This window comes from Homo sapiens, chromosome 11, assembly GCF_000001405.40.
Source record: "Homo sapiens chromosome 11, GRCh38.p14 Primary Assembly".
In the NCBI taxonomy this organism is placed as follows: Eukaryota; Metazoa; Chordata; class Mammalia; order Primates; family Hominidae; genus Homo; species Homo sapiens.
In genome coordinates, this window is record NC_000011.10 from 23,310,719 (window position 1) to 23,327,146 (window position 16,428).

Here is a 16,428-nt window from a genome sequence, read left to right on the forward strand (position 1 = left end):
CCTTATATGAAAAGCTCTTCTGTTTTATATGACATGAATGTTGTCCTTTTAATTTCATTAATTTAATGAGGTATTCATAATGCTATTTATGTTAATTTCAATTTTTATTCTTGGCAAATATGATGTGCTTATTTTGGGAGGAGTTTGCATCTCATAAAGAGTGAAGATGTGAATGGTTGGGTTTTAAATTGATGTTGGTTATCAATCTATCTAAATTGTTTCTTTTGCAAACAGTATGCAAATTTGAGCTAAGATTCAAAGTATGTTTACATCCCATATGCAAATGAAGGGTTTTGGTTTACTTGACAATATAAATTTGTAAGATGTTATATGGTTTTCTCATTAAAATAGTATTGCTAATTATGCCTCTAAAGATTTCTTTCTAATGTGTCATTGCTAGGTAAAATACATTATTTAAATATATTTGATGAGCATTTAAATTAAGTAGTAAATGAAGTCGGTGATATTATTACTATTATTATTTAAGACAGATTTGCAATCTGTTGCCCAGGATGGAGTGTAATGGCGCAATTTTGGCTCACTGAAACCTCTGCCTCCTAGGCTCAAATGATCTGCCTGCCTCAGCCTCCCAAAGCGCTGGGACCTAACAGACATGAGTGACTGCAAACTGCCTGTGATTTTTTAATTTTTTAATTTTTTTATTTTTGAGATGGGATCTCACTATGTTGCCCAGGTGGAGGGCAGTGGTGCAAACTCAGGCTCACTGCCACCTATGCCTCCTTGGCTCAAGCGATCTTCCAACCTCAGCCTCCCAAGTAGCTGGGGCCACAGGCACATGCCGCCATGCCCAGCTAATCTTTTGTATTCTTGATAAAGACGATGTTTCACCATGTTGCTCAGGCTGGTCTTGAACTCTTGAGTTCAAGTGACTCTTGTGCCTTGGCCTCTCAAAGTATTGAGATTACAGGCATGAGCCACCATACTTGGCCCTGTGATACTATTTTTAATAAAATTTTTAAAACTTTATTTCTGAGGAAAATTACATGGTCTCATTCAGTTTAACATTTTATATTATATTATTTTGAGATGCTCAAATTCTTTTATGGATTAAGCAAAAATTCCCTGAATGGTAAATGGCACTCGATACATGATTATTCTTTCACTGACTATTTATACAACCCTAAGAAGTACTTACCTAGAATTCACTCTGCTCAAGTGACTTCGACAGCTGAAAAAAAAAAAAAAGCAAACAAAGCAAAAAACTGTCTAAAGAACATCATCTCAATTCTCAAGGTTAAAAAAGACGAAAATAGTAAGTATTTAACATGTTTCAGGAGTTCATTTTATTTGTACAAATTGGCTAACGATAACTATAATTGCTTAAGAGATTATCCAGATTTTTATTGATGAGTAAATTAAACTTTAAAATCAACAGGAAATTTTTTCCAGATGATATCATCAGGAAGTGGTAGGGCTGGAAGGCCCACTCAGTTTATCCTCTCCCAATCCCGTGGTTTTTCAACCATAGCATAATACTTGAGTATAAGGCTGTCATCTGAAGTTGTGGGTTCTAGTAACAACTAAGTTCCTAACCCTTGTTGCATCTTGAATAAGTCATTTACTATTTTTGGTTTTATGTTTTCTAAACTTTTTTATTTGCTTCTTGCCTTTGCTTTATTTATTTTTCTTATTTTCCTACATTAAAAATGGGCATGGAATGAGCTAGATGATTTTTTAAGCTATTTTCAGTCCTGTATCAACACATAGCTTCTCCTGGGTGACCATTTTTCATGGTTAGCTCAAAAATATTTGTGAGGTTGGTAATGATGAATTTTTTTCTTTGAAGTTTTTTTGCATACATGTGTTTCAGTAAAGAAAATAAATAAGAGGCCCTATGCAGTAATTTTGTCTTTTAATATCTGAATCCTATTTACCCATGGCGTACTCCACTAAAATTTTCTCCTTTTATCTTCATTTTCTGTCTTAATTATTGATCTGAGATTTAGTTGCCCTTGAAACTGATGCGCTCAGCAGCTCCAGGGTGGTGGAGTGAGATGGTTGCTAGGCAACCTCACTAGTATCAGACGGGTTATTGAGATCTTTACCTTTGAGAGTCTTGCTTGTGGAGAATCTAAGGAAAAAGCTACTTCTAACTCCTGTGTCTTTAAGTCTCAGAAAATCCAGAGATTTGGAACAAACATACAACATATTTAGAAAGGATTTTCAGGAAAAAATTAGGTGGAATATTTGTGTTTTTTTTCCAGGTTTAAGGAGGTTGCTTTAAAAGAAAAAGTCTTTTGATCCTGTTTTGGTTTCCTACTGCTACATAACAATCATGACAAAACTAATGGTTTAAAAATATAAATGTATTATCTCACAGTTTCTATAGATTAGAAGTCTAGGTATGGTGTTGCTGGGTCTCTGCTCAGGGTTTCCTAATGCTGTAATCAAGGTGTCTGCTGGGGTTGTGGTCTCATTTAAGGCCTAAGATCTTCTTCCAGGTTCTTGTGGTTGTTTGCAGAATTCATTTCCTTGCAGCAACTGACCTCTTCGTGGTTTATTTCTTTAAAGCTAGCAAGAGAAAAAGAGAGAGTTTCTGTTGCTTCCAAACTCTGAGCTCAGAAAAGTCCAAAGCCCTTTTTCAAAGAGCCCAATTAGGTCAGGCTCATACAAGGCAATCTTCCCTTTTTAATTGATATGTCATAATTGTACATATTTATGAAGTACGTGTGATGTTTTGATATATGCCTACAATGTGCGATGATCAAATTAGGTTAATTAGAATATCCACTACTTCAAACATTTATTATTTCTTTGTGTTGGGATCATTTCAAATCTTTTCTGGCTATTTTGAAACATGCAATACATTGTTGTTAACCATAGTCACTCTACTGTGCTGTAGAACACTAGAACTTATGACTTCTAACTGTAGTTTTTACCCATTAACCAACTTATAACATCCCTTTGATGAACTAAATTTAACTGATTGGGGACCTTAATTATATCTGAAAAATTCCTTCATTTTAGTCATATAACGTAAAATAACCTTATTGTGTTCACAGGTCTCACCCACACTCAAGGAAAGGAGCTTATTTAATGGTGTAGATTATTGGTGATCACCTTAAAATTTTACCTATGACAGATGTATTTTAAGTATATAATCAGTGTTCTATTACACTCTCAAATTCTGGGCGGAGATAATAACACAAATAGTTAATTCATTTCTAAGTTCTACTGACTATCAATTATTTTACAATCATATTTTAATAATCACTAAATGTGATTTATTTTAAAATATTACAGTTAGAGCTATTTTCTGTAAATCAAATCATACTTATCAGAGCATTATTTCTGGAGAAATGAATGTGTAATAAATATTGAAGAATATTATGGGGAGCATCTAGTATTAGATGATTCAATTTTATGGCTATGCTTATTAGATTAATTTTGATTGTGATCCAGGCCCAGGGAAGAAATGAAGGCTGAAAATTTTCCATTACTTTTGGTTGATGCAGGTAGTAAATTTTTATACCAGATTAACAGCCAAATCTTGACTTCAAGCTTGTAAATTAGAGTAATATTTCCTCTAGGGAATACAAGAGCACTTTTTTTTTTTTTTGCCATTGTTCATTTCCTACTTCTCTGATGTTATCTCAACACATGAGGGAAAAGTTGGTTCAGAAATAGGAATTGGTCTATTAAACGTAGGCTGTTTTCAAGGGTCACGAGAATATTGTTGGAGCAATCCTGTTGGTTAGTTTGCATTTCCTGAGACCAGAAGAGTCGATGAATAAGAAAACATGACAATAATAGAAAAATAAGAAACAGTACAAACAATCATGTCTCAGAGATTTCTGCAGAGGCATTTGTGAGAGATAACTGAATATATTAGAGTACATATTTTATCGGGCTCTCATAGATTTCCATCTGCAGGTAAACTTTCTTCTGAATTAGTTTTGTTTCATTTATAAATTTCATAAAAATTCAAGCCCTTTGTTTATAATTAAATGGTTAGAAGGACTTTAGAAAGAAATTGACAATTTAAATCATGCCAGAGTATGTCTGAATATATATTTTCCTTGGCAGACTGATCTATTCAGGAAATGTGTCTACGTAACCAAGGCAGATGGGAAATATTTGACAATGGTTATTGTCACCCTTCCTTTCCATCCTTTATGTCCCATCATGGACCCCTGAAGACAAATCATAAATATGAGGGGCATAAATTCTTACACAGATTGCATTATTATTTGTTCCACTAGCTAAAAAGAATTTCAAAGGCTACTATTATGTTTTAAATGTAATTAAGAAGGCAGTAAATAGACAGGTGAAAATATCATGTTGGATGCAGTATTGCCTTGTATTCTATCTGTACTTGGAAAGTTGGATAAACAGAATACTTTTTAATAAACTAGTATGAAAGCACACAAATTCATACATATACTTATGCACAATTATTAATAGAACAGTACTTAATAAGCCCTTAAATGTGAGCAAAATTTTGGACTTTCTAATAAGAAAAAATAAAACTATGCTGGTTGAAAAGCAGTACCACCTATTAAAAATACTATGCAAGCCATATATGTAATTAAAAATTTTTTAGGAATCACATTAAAAACATAAAAAGAAAAAAATAAAATTAATATATTTTATTTACTTTTCAAGGAACAATACATTTTGAAAGCAAAATAAATAAATTATAACATAAAACAGGGTCTGCCAGAGTCTGAATATTTTATTGTTAGAGTTTCCAGAAAAGGTCATGTCGTCACACATAATGAGAAGCAGCTGACTCTCTGATGGAGCTTTCTGGACCAACTGGGTGGATATTTTGGAATTCCTGGGGAGGCTCTTTCACCACCTTTATACCACGCACTTCAGCATTTGATTGCAAATGGATGTCTGTGATTCTAGGCATCTACTTTGTGACAAAACATCTTGCGTGTATATTGAGATCCACTGTTTATCCAATAACAAAACCAAAGTGTCCATTGTACAAGTAAAAAGACTTAAAGCTTACTTTAGCAATTGAGCCAGGATCTCAAGATGCAAATGCCTGGATGGAATGGATTAAATACTCAGTCTGCACTCTAAGCAAAAGCGATTGTTACACTTGAGTGCATCGTAGGCCAGAGGCCCAGGTTGTCCCCTTTCCCACTTGGATGGTTATTTACACATGGCATATCAATTCAATGACACATCTCTAATCAGCGATCTCATGGATCTCTTCTTTTTTGTACCTTATTCGTGGTCACTTAGACTGATGTTGGAACATCTTAAAGGTTCCTAAGATGTTCCTAAGTCCCAGAGTTACGGCAAAGACTTGTTAGTGCTGCAGAAAATCCCTCTCAAGTGGCCACAAGAAAGCTCCCTCCCTGTTTTACCTCAGTTAATTTCCTGGTATTCCACCAGGCTATCTTTTAAACCAGGCCATCCTAAACAAATTCAGATGGGTAAAAATTCATTTAGCCATTTTACAATGATGTCACCAGTGGGTAAGTGTAAGCAATAATATTTTTGTGCAGACAGACATCAGAATTAATTTCTTAATATAGTTTGAATAATCATATAAATTCCTCTTAAGTTATCAAAGATTCTTACCTAGAGATACTTCGACTAATACACTCAATTTTAATTTTACTTTTACTTTTAAAATTTAAATACTATAAGGTGTAAGGAAGGGATCCAGTTTCAGCTTTCTACATATGGCTAGCCAGTTTTCCCAGCACCATTTATTAAATAGGGAATCCTTTCGCCATTGCTTGTTTTTCTCAGGTTTGTCAAAGATCAGATAGTTGTAGGTATGCGGCGTTATTTCTGAGGGCTCTGTTCTGTTCCATTGATCTATATCTCTGTTTTGGTACCAGTACCATGCTGTTTTGGTTACTGTAGCCTTGTAGTATAGTTTGAAGTCAGGTAGTGTGATGCCTCCAGCTTTGTTCTTTTGGCTTAGGATTGTCTTGGCAATGCGGGCTCTTTTTTGGTTCCATATGAACTTTAAAGTGGTTTTTTCCAATTCTGTGAAGAAAGTCATTGGTAGCTTGATGGGGATGGCATTGAATCTGTAAATTACCTTGGGCAGTATGGCCATTTTCACGATATTGATTCTTCCTACCCATGAGCATGGAATGTTCTTCCATTTGTTTGTATCCTCTTTTATTTCATTGAGCAGTGGTTTGTAGTTCTCCTTGAAGAGGTCCTTCACATCCCTTGTAAGTTGGATTCCTAGGTATTTTATTCTCTTTGAAGCAATTGTGAATGGGAGTTCACTCATGATTTGGCTCTCTGTTTGTCTGTTGTTGGTGTATAAGAATGCTTGTGATTTTTGCACATTGATTTTGTATCCTGAGACTTTGCTGAAGTTGCTTATCAGCTTAAGGAGATTTTGGGCTGAGACAATGGGGTTTTCTAGATAAACAATCATGTCGTCTGCAAACAGGGACAATTTGACTTCCTCTTTCCTAATTGAATACCCTTTATTTCCTTCTCCTGCCTAATTGCCCTGGCCAGAACTTCCAACACTATGTTGAATAGGAGGGGTGAGAGAGGGCATCCCTGTCTTGTGCCAGTTTTCAAAGGGAATGCTTCCAGTTTTTGCCCATTCAGTATGATATTGGTTGTGGGTTTGTCATAGATAGCTCTTATTATTTTGAAATACGTCCCATCAATACCTAATTTATTGAGAGTTTTTAGCATGAAGGGTTGTTGAATTTTGTCAAAGGCTTTTTCTGCATCTATTGAGATAATCATGTGGTTTTTGTCTTTGGCTCTGTTTATATGCTGGATTACATTTATTGATTTGCGTATATTGAACCAGCCTTGCATCCCAGGGATGAAGCCCACTTGATCATGGTGGATAAGCTTTTTGATGTGCTGCTGGATTCAGTTTGCCAGTATTTTATTGAGGATTTTTGCATCAATATTCATCAAGGATATTGGTCTACAAACAATTGAGGCACTGAAAGTTTTCTTTAAAATGACACATTATCTACACTGTCAATGTAGACATCAGTTTTGCATTACTCATAATCTTCACCTACCAATTGTTTTAATGTATGTCTTATATTGATTTCCTTTTCCACCTACTCTTATTTCTTGCTACGTACCATTTTCTGTATGGTACCCTACTTCTTCTAGTTTATGTCTAGTTTCTGTTAGGGTTATTTTTACATGTAGATGTTGGGCTGGGAAGAAATACAGTATACAAATTATGTGAAATATGAGTTTTGAAAATTGTGTGCTCAGGATTATTAAACACACATGTTACTTCACATTTGGCTTGATTTTTAAACTCAGATTTAATTCCCATTGAAAGAAATATTTTACTGGCAGCACATTTAAATCATGTGAAGAGTGTTACTAACTCAAATTATTGCCAACCCAGTGACTGCGTCAGGAGGAGGTAAAGTATGAATCTCTTCATGGGTGCCACTTTTTATCTTCAGTGAATATAAAAATATAAAACATGAATAATAAACATGAAGAAAATTTTGACAAATATGTGATTGTTCATTTTACTTTACAATTCAAAATAAAATTGCCAGAGGTGAAGCTCCAACGTACAGTCTGTCTCTTTAATCTGTTGTTTGTGAAATGTTCCAGTTTGCTTGTGTATATTTTGCATGCATACCTCCTGTTAATGCAATGAAATTTATTTCAATAGAATAAATTAAGGAAGTTTGTTGGCATAGTATAGGAGAGTTCTCTCCTCCAAGTATCACAAGACTGAATTCAAGGTGTCATCCAAGCTGATTTTTTCTCTGGAGTTATCAAAGATTTCTCTTAAGTCATCAAAGATTCTTACCTAGAGATACTTTGACTAATACACTCAGCTTTAATTTTACTTTTAGTTTTAAAATTTAAATACCAATACAAACAAGGCATTGAAAGCTTTCTTTAAAATGACACATTATCTACACTGTCAAGGTAGACATCAGTTTTGCATTACTCACAATCTCCAGAGAAACTCCAGAAACTCCAGAGAAAAATTCACTTTGGATCATTCTTACTGACAGAAGTTAGTTTCTTCAGATTATAGGGCGGAGGTCCCTGCTTCTTTGCTGACTGTCAGCTGGAGGCTACTCATTTCCTAGAGGAATCCTCCATTCTGTGTTGCATGGTCCTCTCCATTGTCAAACAAGCAATGACATGCCAAATCCTTGTCAAGTGCAAATAAATGCATTTTGAATGTCTCACTTCCTCTGTCTCTAACCTCTAGACTTAAATTTAAAGGATTTGTGTGATTAGGTGTGGCCCATACCAGCTGATCTTACTTTAAAGTCAACTGAGCCAGGTGTGGTGGCATGCAACTATAGTCTCAGCTACCCAGAAGGCTGATGAGGGAGAATGGCTTGAGCTCAGGAGTCTGAGACCAGTCTGGGCAATATAGTAAGACCCCATATCTAAAAAATAAATAAATAATACTACAAATCAATTGCTTTGGACCTAATTACATCTGCAAAATCCCTTCTGTCATAGAGCATGAAATAATTATCATGGCATTCATCTTTATAGGTTTCATGCACAGTCAAGAGGAGGAGATTATATGAGTGTGCCTCATTGAAGGCCACGTTGAAATTCTGCCTACTACGATCATTTCATGTATAGTTCACATTTACAGGACAAATTTTATATATGAACAACTATCTGTAAACAAGCTACAGGATTTCAGAATGAAAATGAAAAGACACATTTTTGTTATTTCAGGAACTCTATCAATACACATTGTGGGTTTAGCTGTTAATTACAAAAACTGCATACTTATGAAGATTCCAATTATATTTTACTTGTTTCTAATTAATCTCTTGCCACCTATCACTTGGAATATTTTATTACTAATTGTTATGTTGTTTTGCGGTTTGTTTTTTAGAAGACATAAATTATTTCAAGTGTTTCTTTTCAGGGAGTTTAACTAATACTCAATTAGTATAGATATCTTAATATGCAACCCAAATTTAAATCTAATAGTTACCTGGATTTGTGTTATTTTTATGTCAGCTGAAGGGGTTTAAATTCTTGTGGCTTACAGTTTTCTCTTTGTGGGCTGCATTACTGTGAAACAAATATTTTATGTATGATATTGTGGAAATGAAAAATTTTGCAATTGTATGACACATTTGAGTCTTTGCTGTTAATTATAATATTTTGCAGATATCTTCTGGAGCTTCAACTGCAAATTTTGTAACTGATTTTGTTACAGTAGGTAGCTAGTCAGACATGAGGACAGCAGTAGAGGATTCTACCCCCATGCCCTCACTCCAACACACACCAGAATGTCAGGTAACCATCAGGTGATGGTCAGGTGGTTGTTAACTGTCTCTCTAAAGTAATAATTGGTCAAAGCCAGCACCAGGGAAGGCAGTCTCCCAATAAACAGAAACATCTGAAATGATCAGCAGCCTCCTGATAAGATTTCAGGAGTTGGGCCAGTGGGTTCAAGCATGCACATTACGAGGCAAAATGGTGGAGTTTAACTGGTATATGACCTTCTAGGGACATTTGATTGGTAGAGGAAGAACACCTCAAATTAGCATGCATATAACTCCAGTAAACACACTGTATAGGCTCCACTCCCAAGAGCTAGCAGGCCACTGCATATGTGGACAGTCCACCCCAAGGGATGATTCAGGGGAGAAGGATTGCAGGACCTTGGAAGCATGCCAACATATAAAACCCCAAGTCAAAAAGGTCAAACCATGCTCTTCATCTCTCAAGTTGACTGCTTGACCCTCTTCCAAGTGTACTTTACTTCCTTTCAACCTGCTCTAAAGCTTTTTAATAAACTTTCATGTCTTCTCTAAAACTTGCCTCACCTCTCCTTCTGCCTTATGCCCCTCATAGAATTCTTTCTTCTGAGGAGGCAAGAACTGACGTTGCTAAAGACCCAAATGGATTTGCTGCCACTAACAGTTTCATAGGATAATTTTGTTTTTGTATTCTATGCTTACATGACCTTAAATGAGTTAAACTGTGTTTGTATGTGTGTAAAAGAGAGATGCTTTTTGGGCAGGTGCTGGTTTGATTTCCATAGCATCATTGCTTATTTGATAGCATTTACGTGTAAATAAGACTGAGAAGCTAAGAAAGAGAAGTGCTGAGTCATATATATTAAAATTTATATAAACCTTATTTATATTACCCAATTAGTGATGTACAAAACTGTTTTATAACTCTTGCATCTTGTAATCCTGATGACTTTATTGCCTTAATTAGAAAGTTATTCACTGTAGTAGAAAAACATCTATTTACATGAAAATGGCTTAAGAGAATTTAGGCCTTTATGGCTTTATAAAATCAATTTGTCTATGGGTTCCAAGATGGCCGAATAGGAACAGCTTCAGTCTACAGCTCCCAGCATGAGCGATGCAGAAGATGGGTGATTTCTGCATTTCCAACTGAGTTACTGGGTTCATCTCAATGGGGCTTGGCAGACAGTGGGTGCAACCCATGGAGCGTGAGCAGAAGCAGGGCAGGGCATCGCCTCACCCAGGAAGCACAAGGGGTCGGGGAATTCCCTTTCCTAGCCAAGGGAAGACGTGACAGATGGTACCTGGAAAATCAGGACACTCCCACCCTAATACAGCACTTTTCCAACGGTCTTAGCAAATGGCACACCAGGAGATTATATCCCGCACATGGCTTGGAAGGTTCCATGCCCACGGAGCCTGGCTCACTGGTAGCACAGCAGTCTGAGATTGAACTGCAAGATGGCAGCGAGGCTGGGGGAGGGGCATCCACCATTGCTGAGGCTTGAGTAGGTAAACAAAGTGGCCAGGGAAGCTACAACTGGGTGGAGCCCACCGCAGCTCAAGGAGTCCTGCCTGCCTCTGTAGACTCCACCTCTGGGGCAGGGCATAGCTGAGCAAAAGGCAGCAGAAACTTCTGCAGACTTAAACATCTCTGTCTGATAGCTTTGAGGAGAGTAGTAGTTCTCCCAGCACAGAGTTTGAGATCTGAAAACGGACGGACTATCTCCTCAAGTGGGTCCCTGACCCTCAAGTAGCCTAACTGGGAGCACCTCCCAGTAGGGAATGACCGACACCACATACAGCCAGGTGCCCCTCTGATACAAAGCTTCCAGAGGAAGGACCTGGCAGCAACATTTGCCGTTCTGCAATATTTGCTGTTCTGCAGCCTCCGCTGGTGATACCCAAGCAAACAGGGTCTAGAGTGGACCTCCAGCAAACTCCAACAAACCTGCAGCTGAGGGTCCTGACTGTTAGAAGGAAAACTAACAAACAGAAAGGACATCCACACCAAAACCCCATCCGTATGTCACCATCATCAAAGACCAAAGGTAGATAAAACCACAAAGATGGGGAAAAAACAGAGCAGAAAAGCTGAAAATTCTAAAATCAGAGTGCCTCTTCTCCTCCAAAGGAATGAAGCTCCTCGCCAGCAACAGAACAAAGCTGGATGGAGAATGATTTTGATGAGTTGAGAGAAGAAGGGTTCAGACCATCAGTAATAACAAACTTTTCCGAGCTAAAGGAGGATGTTCGAACCCATCACAAAGAAGCTAAAAACCTTGAGAAAAGATTAGATGAATGGCTAACTAGAATAAACAGTGTAGAGAAGACCTTAAATGACCTGATGGAGCTGAAAACCATGGCATGAGAACTACGTGACAAATGCATAAGCTTCAGTAGCCGATTTGATCAAGTGGAAGAAAGGGTGTCAGTTATTGAAGATCAAATGAATGAAATGAAGTGAGAAGAGAAGTTTAGACAAAAAAGAGTGAAAAGCAATGAATAAAGACTCCAAGAAACATGGGACTATGTGAAAAGACCAAATCTACGTCTGATTGGTGTACCTGAAAGTGATGGGGAGAATGGAAGCAAGTGGAAAACACTCTTCAGGATATTATCCAGGAAAGCTTCCCCAACCTAGCAAGGCAGGCCAACATTCAAATTCAGGAAATACAGAGAACGCCACAAAGATACTCCTCGAGAAGAGCAACTCCAAGACACATAATTGTCAGATTCACCAAAGTTGAAATGAAGGAAAAAATGTTAAGGGCAGCCAGAGAGAACGGTCGGGTTACCCACAAAGGGAAGCCCATCAGACTAACAGCAGATTTCTCAGCAGAAACTCTACAAGCCAGAAGAGAGTGGGGGCCAATATTCAACATTTTTAAAGAAAAGAATTTTCAACCCAGAATTTCATATCCAGCCAAACTAAGTTTCATAAGTAAAGGAGAAATAAAATCCTTTACAGACAAACAAATGCTGAGAGATTTTTGTCACCACCAGGCCTGCCTTACAAGAGCTCCTGAAGGAAGCACTAAACATGGAAAGGAACAACAGATACCAGCCACTGCGAAAACATGCCAAATTGTAAAGACCATCGATGCTAGGAAGAAACTGCATCAACTAATGAGAAAAAAATAACCAGCTAACATCATAATAACAGGATCAAATTCACACATAACAATATTAACCTTAAATGTAAATGGGCTAAATGCTCCAATTAAAAGACACAGACTGGCGAGTTGGATAAAGAGTCAAGATCCATCAGTGTGCTGTATTCAGGAGACCCATCTCACATGCAGAGACACAAATAGGCTCAAAATAAAGGGATGGAGGAAGATCTACCAAGCAAATGGAAAACAAAAAAAAGCAGGGATTGCAATCCCAGTCTCTGATAAAACAGACTTTAAACCAACAAAGATCAAAAGAGACAAAGAAGGCCATTACATGATGGTAAAGGGATCAATTCAACAAGAATAACTAACTATCCTAAATATATATGCACCCAATACAGGAGCACCCAGATTCATAAAGCAAGCCCTTAGAGACCTACAAAGAGACTTAGACTCCCAAACAATAATAATGGGAGACTTTAACACCGCACTGTCAACATTAGACAGATCAATGAGACAGAAAGTTAACAAGGATATCCAGGAATTAAACTCAGCTCTGCACCAAGAGGACCTAATAGACATCTACAGAACTCTCCACCCCAAATCAACAGAATAGATATTCTCAGCACCACATCTCACTTATCCCAAAATTGACCACATAGTTGGAAGTAAAGCACTCCTCAGCAAATGTAAAAGAACAGAAATTATAACAAACTGTCTCTCAGACCACAGTGCCATCAAACTAGAACTCAGGATTAAGAAACTCACTCAAAACTGCTCAACTACATGGAAACTGAACAACCTGCTCCTGAATGACTACTAGGTACGTAACAAAATGAAGGCAGAAATAAAGATGTTCTTTGAAACCAATGAGAACAAACACACAACATACCAGAATCTCTGGGACACATTTATAGGAGTGTGTAGAGGGAAATGTATAGCACTAAATGCCCATAAGAGAAAGCAGGAAAGATCTAAAATTGACACCCTAACATCACAATTAAAAGAACTAGAAAAGCAAGAGCAAACACATCCAAAAGCTAGCAGAAGGCAAGAAATAACTATGATCAGAGCAGAACTGAAGGAAATAGAGACACAAAAAACCCTTCAAAAAAAATCAATGAATCCAGGAGCTGGTTTTTTGAAAAGATCAACAAAATTGATAGACTGCTAGCAAGACTAATAAAGAAGAAAAGAGAGAAGAATCAAATAGATGCAATAAAAAATGATAAAGGGGATATCACCACCAATCCCACAGAAATACAAACTACCATCAGAGAATACTATAAACACCTCTGTGCAAATAAACTAGAAAATCTAGAAGAAATGCATAAATTCCTGGACACATACACCCTCCCAAGAATAAACCAGGAAGAAGTTGAATCCCAGAATAGACCAATAACAGGCTCTGAAATTGAGGCAATAATTAATAACCTACCAACCTAAGAAAGTCCAGGACGAGATGGACTCACAGCCGAATTCTACAGAGATACAAAGAGGAGCTGGTACCATTCCTTCTGAAACTATTCCAATCAATAGAAAAAGAGAGAATCCTCCCTAACTCATTTTATGAGGCCAGCATCATCCTGATACCAAAACCTGGCAGTGACACAACAAAAAAAAGAGAATTTTAGACCAATATCCCTGATGAACATTGATGCAAATATCCTCAATAAAATACTGGCAAACCGAATCCAGCAGCACATCAAAAAGCTTATCCACAATGATCAAGTTGGCTTCATTCCTAGAATGCAAGGCTGGTTCAATATACGCAAATCAATAAACATAATCCATCATATAAACAGAACCAAAGACAAAAACCACATGATTATTTCAATAGATGCAGAAAAGGCCTTTGACAAAATTCAACAATGCTTCATGCTAAAAACTCTCAATAAACTAGGTATTGATGGGACGTATCTCAAAATAATAAGAGGAATTTATGACAAACCCACAGCCAATATCATACTGAATGGGCAAAAACTGGAAGCTTTCCCTTTGAAAGCTGGCACAAGACAGGGATGCCCTCTCTCACCACTCCTATTCAACATAGTCTTGGAAGTTCTGGCCAGGGCAATCAGGCAAGAGAAAGAAATAAAGGGTATTCAATTAGGAAAAGGGGAAGTCCAATTGTCCCTGTTTGCAGATGACAAGATTGTATATTTAGAAAACCCCATTGTCTCAGCCCAAAATCTCCTTAAGCTGATAAGCAACTTCAGCAAAGTCTCAGGATACAAAATCAGTGTGCAAAAATCACAAGCATTCCTATACACCAAGAACAGACAAACAGCCAAATCATGAGTGAACTCCCATTCACAATTGCTTCAAAGAGAATAAAATACCTAGGAATCCAACCTACAAGGGATGGGAAGGACCTCTTCAAGGAGAACTACAAACCACTGCTCAGTGAAATAAAAAAGGACACAAACAAATGGAAGAACATTCCATGCTGATGGACAGGAAGAATCAATATTGTCAAAATGGCCATACTGCCCCATGTAATGTATAGATTCAATGCCATCCCCATCAAGCTACCAATGACTTTCTTCACAGAATTGGAAAAAACCACTTTAAAGTTCATATGGAACCAAAAAAGAGCCCGCATTGCCAAGACAATCCTAAGCCAAAAGAACAAAGCTGGAGGCATCATGCTACCTGACTTCAAAATATACTACAAGGCTACCGTAACCAAAACAGCATGGTACTGGTACCAAAACAGAGATATAGACCAATGGAACAGAACAGAGCCCTCAGAAATAACACCACATATCTACAACCATCTGATCTTTGACAAAGCTGATGAACATAAGAAATGGCAAAAGGATTCCCTATTTAATAAATGGTGCTGGGTAAACCAACTAGTCATATGTAGAAAGCTGAAACTGGACCCCTTCCTTACACCTTATACAAAAACTAATGCAAGATGGATTAAAGACTTAAATGTTAGACCTAAAACCATAAAAACCCTAGAAGAAAGCCTAGGCTATACCATTCAGGACATAGGCATGGGCAAGGACTTCATGACTAAAACACCAAAAGCAATGGCAACAAAAGCCAAAATTGACAAATGGGGTCTAATTAAACTAAAGAGCTTCTGCACAGCAAAAGAAACTGCCATCAGAGTGAACAGGCAATCTACAGAATGGGAGAAAATTTTTGCAATCTACCCATCCAACAAAGAGCTAATATCCCGAATCTACAAAGAACTTAAACAAATTTACAAGAAAAAAATCAAACAATCCCATCAAAAAGTGGGTGAAGGATGTGAATAGACACTTCTCAAAAGAAGACATTTATGCAGCCAATAGACACATGAAAAAATGCTCATCATCACTGGCCATCAGAGAAATGCAAATCAAAACCACAATGAGATACCATCTCACACCAGTTATAATGGTGATCATTAAAAACTTAGGAAACAACAGGTGCTGGAGAGGATGTGGAGAAATAAGAACACTTTTACACAGTTGGTGGGAGTGTAAACTAGTTCAACCGTTGTGGAAGACAGTGTGGCCATTCCTCAAGGGTCTAGAACTAGAAATACAATTTGACCCAGCCATCCCATTACTGGGTATATACCCAAAGGATTATAAATCATGCTACTATAAGGACACATGCACATGTATGTTTATTGTGGCACTATTTGCAATAGCAAAGACTTGGAACCAACCCAAATGTCCATCAATGTTAGACACATTTACGAAAATGTGGCACATATACACCATGGAATACTATGCAGCCATAAAAAAGGATGAGTTCATGTCCTTTGTAGGGACATGGATGAAGTTGGAAACCATCATTCTGAGCAAACTATCGCAAGGACAGAAAACCAAACACAACATGTTCTCACTCATAGTTGGGAATTGAACAATGAGAACACTTCGACACAACATGGGGAACATCACACACCGGGACTGTCGTGGGGTGGGTGGAGGGGGGAGAGGGAGGGGGGAAGGATAGCATTAGGAGATATACCTAATGCAAATGATGAGTTAGTGGGTGCAGCACACCAACATGTCCCATGTATACATATGTAACAAACCGGCACGTTGTGCACATGTACCCTAGAACTTAAAGTATAATAAAAAAATCAATTAGTCAATATA